At 47.5% G+C, this 10,888-nt stretch overlaps 4 annotated features.

The window, feature by feature from the left end:
* Nucleotides 1,320–2,519: an enhancer, noted in NCBI's record as "P300/CBP strongly-dependent group 1 enhancer chr6:14270712-14271911 (GRCh37/hg19 assembly coordinates)". NCBI's record gives its function as "activates an origin of replication core promoter dependent on BRD2, BRD4, P300/CBP, MED14 and CDK7 cofactors, with strong dependence on P300/CBP, by STARR-seq in HCT116 cells {active_cell/tissue: HCT116}" and the evidence as "EXISTENCE:reporter gene assay evidence [ECO:0000049][PMID:35650434]".
* Nucleotides 1,810–1,954: an enhancer, noted in NCBI's record as "145 bp enhancer 158 fragment used in the MPRA reporter construct; PK_construct_3811". NCBI's record gives its function as "activates an SV40 promoter by MPRA in HepG2 cells {active_cell/tissue: HepG2}" and the evidence as "EXISTENCE:reporter gene assay evidence [ECO:0000049][PMID:23512712]".
* Nucleotides 1,877–1,887: a transcriptional cis regulatory region, noted in NCBI's record as "NFE2L2 motif; enhancer activity is reduced when this motif is scrambled". NCBI's record gives its function as "necessary for full MPRA enhancer 158 activity {active_cell/tissue: HepG2}" and the evidence as "EXISTENCE:site-directed mutagenesis evidence [ECO:0005528][PMID:23512712]".
* Nucleotides 3,790–4,703: an enhancer, noted in NCBI's record as "OCT4-NANOG hESC enhancer chr6:14273182-14274095 (GRCh37/hg19 assembly coordinates)". NCBI's record gives its function as "activates a minimal SCP1, AML or CMV promoter by ChIP-STARR-seq in naive and primed H9 embryonic stem cells {active_cell/tissue: H9 hESC(naive and primed)}" and the evidence as "EXISTENCE:reporter gene assay evidence [ECO:0000049][PMID:30033119]".

Genomic DNA, 10,888 nt, shown 5'->3' on the forward strand with positions numbered 1-10,888 from the left:
TATATCTGCAAAGCCCTTTTTCTAAATAAGGTCACCCTTGCAGGTTCTGGGATTTAGGACATGGACACATCTTATTGGGGGCCACCATTTAGCCCATTACACTCCCATGTGCCCTTGGCCAACAGCAGTGAAGAATAAACCCTTTGATCCACCAAGAGGTGAGACCCAGTCCTATGTCACCTCTGTCTATTATAACAATGGTGGCAGAACCAAGGCCCAAGGCTCGTGCCAAATCTGCCATTTTGGAATGATGCCACCATTCCCATTTTATGTCCAGGTCACAGGACACAATCTCACATTAATGGATAGGCTTCCTATTGGGTGTATTCACATGCAGGGACCATGGCAGCCTCAAAGAGAGACACTCAATTTTCTGGTTTGCTGTAGGGGGATGGCAGTGAGCTGAGGAAGCTGCCCCGGTGTAAGCTAGAGGTTGCCTGACCTCGAGGGGAATTTGCAACTCTTTGTGCTGCTTCTCTTCCCTCACTGATAGCTGAGGTGCAGGTGGAGGAAATGCTGCTTCTTTAAACAGAGAGCTTCATTTCCCTCAGGGCTTCAAGTGAGGTGCCTGGGGTGGAGACAGAGGGGCCTGCCTTCCCTGGCTTCCCAAGGTAGCTTTCCTATTCACCCCTCACTCCTTTTCTTTAGTGAGACAAAGCTCACAGGCTGGAGGAGAGGTGTGGGGAGAAGGACTCTACCACTCTACTTTTTTCTAGATGTTCTCATGTGCAGAGAATTGGGCAACTTCTTCCTCCTGACACTCCCTAGCTTTCTCCTTTTCTAAGGATCCACTTATACACCAGCAGTGTCTAAGTAAAAAGGAATCGCAGATTCCTGCTAACATGGTTTGCTAGGTGATTTGTGCTGCTTATATATAATTTTTTTTTTTTTAATTTTGGAAAGATTGAAAGGAAGGAAGGCAGTCATGGGCTCTGCGTACACTTGGAAACATAAATGAGATGTAATTTCAAGACCTCCCTGATGGGCAATGTCAATATGGAGAATTCCCTGGAGAGTGAGAGCTTGGGCTCCACCAAGGGGGAGGAGCTGTGGTGGACAACAGGAGGTCAGCTTCCTAGCAGGTGAAAAGAGCCTGGACCTGGAGGGGAGGATTGGGGGATGAGGGAGGTGAGAATGAAGAGGGTAACAGGAGGCACACCATGCGCAGAAAGAAGACCAGGGCTCACCAAGACTCTCACAGGGTGGTCTATAGGAAAGGAAAGCCTGAGCGCAAGGGTGGGGCTGTTCAGTGGACAGTGTGGAAGGCTCTGAAACTCTGGTCTCCACTGCACTGGCGAATGCTGGGGAAAACCAGCAGTGATGCATTGGGAAGGAAGGATGCACACATCTGGGCGGCCTGTGGAATTACTATTTCTATTCTTGCTTCTAAATGGATGGGTAGGATTCAGACTTGAACTTAGTACATTTATCCTATAAATGAAGGTCTTTCTGTCAGGGATCTCTGCTCCGAGTGGTTTCACAAATGAATGAGTAGGATGCAGGGTGTGACAAAAGAACTAACATTTATTGAGCACCTACTATGTGTCAGGCACTGTCCTAGGGGCATGTGTGTGTGTGTGTGCACATATTGTCTCATTAAATCCTCACAGTGACTCTCTGAAGTTTGTTTTTGTCACTTTTGAGGAAATTGAGACTCAGAGAGCCAAGACTCTTTGGCCAAGGCCACACAATCAGGAGTCATGGACCCACATTCCAACCTGGGTGCACCTTACTCAAGGCCTGTTTGTTGGACAAGCTCTTACTGAGGTCAACGCAAAGCCTGATGTTGGTTCTCTCCCCTGCAGAGCGCCAAGCTGCCCCACCTCTCTAGGTAATCTTTCCCTTTCCAGCTCTCCTGTGGCTGGGTGTGGCTGAGCTGACACAGCATCTGGGTTTTTTTTCCAGACTGCACCCTTGGTAAGGTTCCAGTCTGGCTTATGGTGACGCTATTTCCTTTAGGGCCTGTCATCGCTTGTGGCTTTGCCTCTCAGCCCTCCAGTGGGTGACGTGCTGCCTTTGGTGCCAAGCAGTCACTCATTTGGAGAAGCCCAAGGCAGGATGGCATGCACTGGCATTCCCACACTAGCCACACTGGGCGGTAGGTGCTTTGGAGTGCGGTGTCTCAGTGGGTTCCACCCAAGCTCCATCAGCTCACAGCAGCTGCCTGGAGAGCTGACTCACACCCGTCCTCCACATCCTCCCTGATCAGAAGGACCCGGACTAGCTTTTTTTTTTTTTTTTTTTTGGCTTTAAGGAAGTGCCTTTGAATTTCAAAGGTGCCGGCCTCCTGACCAAGTGGAAGAAAGTCAATCCCCTCTGCAGCTGGTCTTCCTGCTGCTCTCCTTGCCTGGTAAATTTGGAACTAGGGCTTTTGGGACAGCCTAGTCATAACACTGCCAACCACTCATTCTTGTGATTGGACTGTGGGGTCCGGTCACAGTGTGATTAAATGGATGTAGTAATTGGAGTACAGCAGATACTCAACAAGAGGAGAGGCCAGGTAACCAAATCTATGCACCTCCTAGAATATTTGGATCTGGCATTTACTGAGCAGGTTTAAGAGCCTAACTCCTTTCTGTTAGAATAATAGGATGTTTCAGAGTTAAGGTCACACCCTCTGGGGTAATCTTTATCACAAAGGTTGTTGAATAATAGGCCAATTTTTCAAGTTATTCTATGCAACCTCAACCTTGAACTTAAAGGGAAGCTAGAGATTAAAACTCCTTTGCAAAGATTATGACAATGAGAAAATCTAGTGTGGCCAACTCCATCTTGCTTCTAGCCTCACAGGCTGTTGGTCTTCATTCGTTCATGGGTGTAGGCCAAGCTAAACATGAAAGGAATTTAGCTTATAGTTTATCTTTGAAGCAAGAATGATAATAGTCCTTCCCAAAAACTAACCTTCTCCTTGCTAAGGGACTAAACCACCTTTGAAAAACTAATAAAAGTTTAAAAGATTATGGTTATGGGAGGGGCCTGAACTCTGCTAAAATGTAGGTACAGTTAAACAATAACCCGCCATTGTTCCTAGCTTGCTTTTCTATAATTCCTCACTGCTCAGGAATTATGTGGTCAGAGATTACAAGATTTGTGACTTCCCCAATTGCTCCTATAGATAACATCACTATTGTATAACCTAAGATTGGCCTTTGGAGATAGTTTTCAGACTTTTGCATTCTGGCGACTTACTTCACCTGGACCCATGACTCATGACTCAACCAGTCTTGTGGCCTCCACCAAGATGCTGACTCAGGACAGGAGGACCATTTTCCATACTCCTGTGAATTCATCCCCAACCAATTAGCAGCCCCCATTCCCTAGCCCCCTGCCTAACAAACAATCTATAAAATCCATAGCCTCTGAGTTCTGAGGGAGGCTGATTTGAGTAGTAATATCTCCTGTCCTCCTGCTCGGCTAGCCCTGCAATTATTAACCCTTTCTCTACTGCAATACCACTGTCTCAATGAATTGGTTTTATCAGTGCAGCAGGCAAAAAGAACACATCAGGTGATGCCACTAGAAACTGGCACTAAGCTGGATTTGGGTTCTTTAATTTTGTTTCCTGCTTAATAGGTTATAAGGATCATTCCAAGTCATGGATAGAGTCATCCAGGATGGGTGTATTGATGCCACTGTTAAGCCAGTGGGCAGCTGTGATAGAGGGAGCAGAGTCAGTAGACCTGGAAGTTTGCCACTAATGAGGCTTGGCTGCTAGGAAGGTTGTAATGGCTCTGCACTTGAGCTTGCCCATCTCTAACATGGCAGTGACAAGGCTTCCTTCTCAGGGAGGTGACCTCAGGCCTAGCATGGCCCACTGGACCCTACGCTCCTTGAGAACAGGGGTCTCCCTTGTTCTTTGTTACATCCTCAATGCCAGGCATGATAAGGGCTTGATGAAGCTTTGTCCATTGGATCTTTCTGGGTTTGCCAGCCTTCCTCGTCTACACCACAGCCACGGTCTCGTATCGACAGGATCTGGATTGAGATTTGCGTTTGGATCATTCCAATCTATCCCACATCTCCACCTATTGTGGGAATAGCTCTATTTCCAAAGACCAATCTACTTTTCCACGAGGCCACACCCGTGCAGTATGTAAGTCGGAAGCAGAAATGAAAAGGGGAAGAAAGTTGAAATACTAAAAGTGGGAGGAGAGAGGGAGAGTGTGGGAGCAAGGCCGGGACCCACCCCAAAAGAGATTGGAATACATGTGCAGCTTTAGTTCATGGCCTGCCAAATACCTCGTGCTGTGCCTCTGAATGGAAAATGGGGTAGAACAATGAGCTGGAATTAACATCGCCTTTGAAAAGCAACTGCTGACAGCAGGCGTTCTGCATATGCCAAGTATTGCCTTCAGACCAGAGAAGCCTTTTCTGGCCCACATGAGCCCCGTGACAGCCTGCAGAAGGCAACACACCCTAGATCCCTAGATGGCTGTGACCTCCAGCCCTCTGTGCCCTGAGCATTTCTGTAGAAAATGTGTGTATTTAAAAAGGCCATGTATGTTTCTAGAAGGAAGGTGAAAACAAGATAGGTATTTGAGGAATTATATATCGATCGGGTACACATTTTGTGGCCTGGTTTAGCAAAGATGTATTACAGGTCTCAATCAAATTGCTCAGATAGACGAATGAGAAATTTCTGATTTGATATTATTTAGGAGTCAAGCCTGCCATTGCTGAGATTGTGGTACTTAAGGGAAAAGTGCCCTTTTACATATTCTTGACATGTTCTTGATTTTGGTTAATGGTATTATTCTCCAGTTTTGAGCCAGAAAAATCTGGAGCCACCCATAACTCCAGGCTGTCAGTCACTTGCCACTCTCACCCACTTGGTCCCCTAACCCTGTCTGCTTCCTTCCCAGTCACGTTACACCTCTGTATCTTCATTGCTGCCTCACTGGTGTTGATGATTGAACTGACTGCTCCTGTCTTCTAGAATTTTCTTGGTTCAGTTTCTTAAGAATGGCAGAGCAGACTTTATTCAAGGGGAGCCATGGCGATAGGGTATGGGGACCACAGCAATGGGGTCTTGCGGTGGGGGAGAGAGATCGGACTCCACTTCAACTCTAGCGAGGACAAGTGGGGATTTATAACCAGGGAGCTGAGTGGGGTCAGGGGTGGAAAATGACTAAGAGAAAACATCAAGGATGAGGGGTTTCTGGCTAAACTGACTTGATCAGTTACTGCAAAAGGCAGGTCGGGGTGATAAGGCATTAAGGGTGGTAAGGCACCAAAGAGGGGATTTTTGCTAAAGTGAGCAGAATTCTTGCTCAGACTGGATTCTATGAGGACACAGAAGGAAGCCCAAGTTCAGGCCCCATCAAGCAGAGGACTTGGAGGAGCCTAGATAAAGTTTTGGTCAAAGGAAAAGAGTCTGTTAAGTTCAACCTCTGATTCTGCCAGATTTGGCTTTCTTTCAGAAAGTCCAACTAAACCATTTCCGTTGCACAACCTCCATTGTATGCCACTTTACACAGGGAAAAACGGGAGTAACGTGTTTAACCAGCAAGACAAGGCAGAGTGCAGTGGCGGAGCCCACGCTGGGGTGCGTGTCTCAACAACTGGCCTGGGTACTGCTTTGAGCCTCAGTGATGAGTCACTTTATTCATTCATTTATATGGCAAATTGTATGAAGCACCTGTGACGTGCAGGCAGTGTTCCAGGCACTGGAGATGCGTCCTGGTCCTCTTGCAAGTTATTTTGCTGTGGACCAGCCTCTATGAGAATCAGGCACATAGGCAGAGGTATCCAGGGTCAGGGGCCTTCTAGGAAAGGCTGATCGCAGAGCTAAGGCAAGAAGCTCGCTGAGGTCAGCCCACGTGGTGTCAGGAGTGGAGGCGGAGAGGCCCCAGCTGCAGAAACACAGGCACCTCCTTGCTTGTTGAGGTTTGTTTTAGGAGCTGTCAGGGAAGAAGGGAGGGAAATGGGGCACTAAAAATACCCACGGATGTTTCCAGAAACCTCTGATGTCTGGGCTCCCACTGTGGATAGCCTGCCAGATGGCTGTGTCTCCCTCAGAGCTGTGAAACCCACCAGTGTCAAGGTTGGATCAAAGGCGCTTTATGGCAACCGGTCAAAGAATCAACCAGAACAGCTTGGCGTGTAGGCAATCTGCCCAGGCCTGACCAGCCATGCCCCTCATGAAGAGGCCACATTGCCATTAGATATCCAAATTATAAGTGACTTCCAGATGCAACCCCAGTGAGCATCCTCTTCTGACTGTCCTCTGTTGCCACCCTTGGGGCTCTGCTTCCAGCTCTTTCAGCTCTATGTGGAGATTGGCAGCCCCCAGTGTGCTCTTGGGCCTGGAGGGACTCTACACAGCTCCACACTCGGGCTCCCTTGTTCATCCCAGCAGCGGCGAGCTTGGCAAAGCCAGGAAGTCTGGGATGAGGCCCAGGAGTGTCTCCCTCAGCCTGCACGCAGCAGCTGATAGGAAACCACAGCTGCCAGCAGCAGCGGCTGCAGAATGCTTGTGAGGGGCACCCTGCTCATAGCCATGGCTCCTGGGACAGGACGGAGCATGAGCCTCCAGCAGAGGTGGGTGGGGGTGAAGGCGAGGAGGCAATAATGCCTGCCCCTGATGCGCAGGGACGCAGGTGCCAGGCTGTGCTGGGGAGCTGTTCTAGAAGCCTAGCCTGGACTGGAAGGGCCCTGCCTGTGGGGGTTAGGGCAGGATCAGAGGAGTTGGGCAGGCAGAACTTTCTCCTGGGGAAGCACAAGTCAGAGGCGGTGGATGGGTGTCTTAGATAGGTCCTTCTGAATGCAGACACTGAGGCAAGACTTCAAGCACAAATCATTTATTTAGGAGGTTAGGCCAGGAAGCATGGATGGGGGAAGGGAGACAGATAAGGGAGGGAAGCAAGGGGGCTTATTAAGCCATTTGCCACAGTGGGCACCTGGAGCTTGATCCCACAGGGAGCTCCCGGAGACACTTTAGAACATGCCTTGGATTTAATCCATCTACGGGACGAGGAAGCTGGGCATTATCCAACAGTTCCTTGCTCATGATTGCTTGAGGCAGGCTTTCTGGGCAGTGACCTGGCACTCTGGATTCCCTGCAGGTGGACCTAGAAGGTTCCCCAAACCAGGCAAAAAGCAGAATGCCAGGGTTGGCAGTGAGCAGCCTCAGACATCGAGGGAAGTGTGGAGGGGATATGGGCTGAGTGCCAAGGCATCTTTATTAGGGAGTCTTGGCAAATAAGAGAACCTAAACATGGTGCTGCTGGGAGGTCAGGCCAGAGAGGGAGCCCAAAGAAGGTGAAGTGGTGGGCAGAGAATGAAGGAATTCCTGGAATTGAGAGATGACAGTTACCTCCCTTTTTAATGGAGTGCCTGAGCCTCTGCTGTGGAGGGGAGAAGATGCCACCTGCCACGGTGATTTGCTGGTCACTCTGGTCTCAAGGGGAAGCAGGACTATTTTCAGGTGGGCCATGCCTTTCCTCCTACCCCTTCCTAAGCACTTTTAGGAGTATCTGGAGTATGGAATAGGCCCTTTAACCCACAGAGCTGTGAATGACTTTTAATTAACAGGAAATGCTGTGGCACATAGCACATATAGCAGACATTGAATCTGTCTCTAATTAGAGACATTTTGAGGTTCTGAACAGCTCAAGTCTGCAATTCTCATTCTCCTTACATGCAGCCACTCGTGACAGAGGGAAGGGCCAGCACTGCTCCTGAGTCCTGGGCTCCTGGCTAAGGGTCCTCCTCCTCTTCCTCCTCTTCCTCCTCTTCCTCCTCCTTCTCTTCCTCCTCTTACTCCTCCTCCTCTTTCTCTTTTTCTTGCTCTTCCTCCTCCTTGTCCTCCTCCTCCTCTTTCTCGTCCTCTTCTTTCCCTTCTCCTCCTGCTCATCTTTTTTTCAAACTGGTTGCCACCTCTAAAATTATACTTTGCTAAACAACAAAAAAACCCTTAAATATAAAAAAATAAAGTGGTGGGAGGATGTGGTTTATTTTGGTCTGCTTTAGGTTCTGGGTGCATGAGCCAGTGCTTATTTTCAGATCTGTCTATTCCTCTTTCTGTGTCTTGTGATCTCACTTAACTCATCCTGCTAGAGTCAACAGATCTCTCCGTGCACAGGAAGCCAGACTATCAAGGCAGCAAAGAGTTTTAAGGCAGCTAAGTGAACAGTTTTGGTTTTTTAAGTGGAAAATTCTTTAAACGTGATGCTACATTTTACTTTTGATAGGTGACTAAAACAAATCCAGGAGATGGGAAATTCCATACCTGGTATTTCCTGAGGCCTGCCTAGCAATGGATCTGACCATTCTCTTTCCACCTGTGTGCTATCTTCCCGCTCTGAGCTGCCATCATCTCCATTGCTGTGATCACTGTCATAGCCTCCCTCCTCCACTTTGCCTCCCTGCAGTCTGCTCTCAACACAGCAGCCTGGGTGACCTGTGAGAACATGCCAGGTCAACTTTCTGCTCTGCTCAGAATTCCCCCACAGTTTCATGGATTGCAGAGGCTGCTCAGTGGGCTGTCCCACCCCATCTCTCTGGCCTCCCTCCTACTCTTCCCTGCTCTCACTCACTCACTCCCACCTCTCCTGCTGACCAGTCCCTTTGCTACATGCCTCAGGACCTTTGCACTTGCCGTCACTCTCTCTCTCTAGAATGTTCTTCTCTTGTTCTCTAGGTGGCTTATTCCTTCAGGTTCTTGTTGACTTGCTGCCTTCTCACTGAAGTTTTCTCCAATTTTTCTATTCAAAAGTGGACACTAAACCACCTTTCCTATTGCCATCTTGCTTTGTTTTCCTCCATAGCCCTGTGTACTATCTAATATAGTATACATTTTCTTCTTACTCATTTTGTTTACTGTCCATCTCTCAGTGAATGTGGCCTATTGAGAACAGGCATTTTATCTGAGTTTTCACTGCCTTATGTCCAGCACAGAACAGTGCCTGGCACATAGTCAATGTCCAAAAACACTTGTTGAATGAATCCGTGGCAGGCTTCAGGGTGGTAGGACAGGAAAGAGAAACACCTACTGGGCTTCCCTTAACCCAGAGGTTGCAGTCGGGAAGCCCACAGAGACATTTGCTTTAGCTTGCACGGTGTTTTTCAAAGACTCAAGTTAGTCATCAGTGCTGAAGAATACGGTGACTACATCTCAAAAGAAATAATAATAATATGGTGACTTCACACAACACCCAGATAACTGGCATAGCTTGAAAAATATAGAAAAATCAGAAGTGCCCCTTGCATATGGCAATACTGAGCAGTAGCCACTCGCCAAACCACTTTGATGGGCACCCTCTCCTGTTTCACTCACTACCCAGCCCCTGGTGGGCAGGTGAGTTCGAAGAAGGGGAGGAGGAGATGGAGGGAGAGGTAGGGGGCAAAAGACGGGGAGGAGGAGAGGGAGAGGAAGGTGGGGGCAGGAACCAGTGCAGCCCCCAGATGCTGCTTTGCCAGCGAGGGGAAAGTGCCCCTTGCATTTAGCTGCCCAGGTTCCCACTGGCAGCTGCTCACAGCGTCCTGGTCCCTCTGATCTTTGAGCTGTAAAGCCCTTTGTCACATCCAGGCTCCCTAGCAACAGCAGCCATACAGGCATGTGGTCAAGAATGGATGGGCACAAATGCAGCTTAGGAGAGGAAAGAAAATGTATCTGTTGTTAAAGTGCATACAATTCTCTACACACGTTAGAAGTTTCAAGCGGCTTTACAACATCAGTTTTGCTAAATCCGGCAATCCTATAGTGTCATTGGCTGAGTATTCCTGAGCACGTCTTACACATGCCAACCAGGGTGCTCACTGAACAGAACTAATTAAAGAAGAATAAAAAAAGATAAGGAGACATATTTAAGCTTCAACTTCTGAGTTATTATAATTAACAAGCAATAAGAAAAATGATATTACTTGTTCCTCATCTTGTATTTGTTACATCCTTTTATTCTAGGCACCTTCCCCACCTCCTGCATGGTTTTGCCTTTGAAGGAGCTTGGGCAGAAGTGCTAAGTCAACAGCCTCTGTTAGTAGATTTAGAAATAAGAAAAGAGGCCAGGTGCAGTAGCACAGGCCTGTAATCAGCACTTTGGGAGGCCAAGACAGGTGGATCACTTGAGGGCAGCAGTTTGAGACCAGGCTGGCCAAAATGGTGAAACCCTGTCTCTACTAAAAATACAAAACAAATTAGCTGGGCGTGGTGGCGCACACCTGTAGTCCCAGCAACTCGGGAGGCTGAGGCACAAGAATTGCTTGAACCTGGGAGACAGAGGTTGCAGTGAGCCAAGATCCCACCACTGCATTCCAGCCGGGGTGACAGAGCGAGACTCCATCTCAAAAAACAAAACAAAACAAAAAACCAAAAAAACCAAAACCAAAAACAAAACAAAACAAAAAAACCCCAAAAAACAAAGAAATAACAAAAGGCCTGTCAATTAGTTGAATTATCTATAAAATATTTCTTTTGCCTTATATGTCTGCAACATTGAAAAGATACAGATGTAACCTATTAACAGATGCAGGTTGCTATAAAATTACGTTTCTTTAAAATTTAAAATGCACACCTCCCTCCCATGTCCCCATCTGTCACGATCAACAGTTCTGATTTAAAACCTACACTTTGAAATTCGACTGCTTCGAATTATGAGAACCACGAATTTAGGTAATTGATTTCTTCTCTCAGATTATTCAGTGTATACCCTGGAAATATGATTAATTAGGCTTGCCTGTATAACAACACATACTGATTTGAGAAAAACTAATGCTGTGTTTAGTAACCTGGACCTTTAGTTTGGTTCTGCAAAGAAATTTCTTCACACTGCTGGGTGTATTATCTTTCCCTCAGTAGAAGCTGAAATTGCATTTGCTAACTAATTGTTGGTTCACTGTTTAATGGCAGGGGAGAGACCTCAGCCGATCAGTGAGCAAGTTAGCTAAG

Source organism: Homo sapiens, chromosome 6, assembly GCF_000001405.40.
Source record: "Homo sapiens chromosome 6, GRCh38.p14 Primary Assembly".
Taxonomy (NCBI): Eukaryota; Metazoa; Chordata; class Mammalia; order Primates; family Hominidae; genus Homo; species Homo sapiens.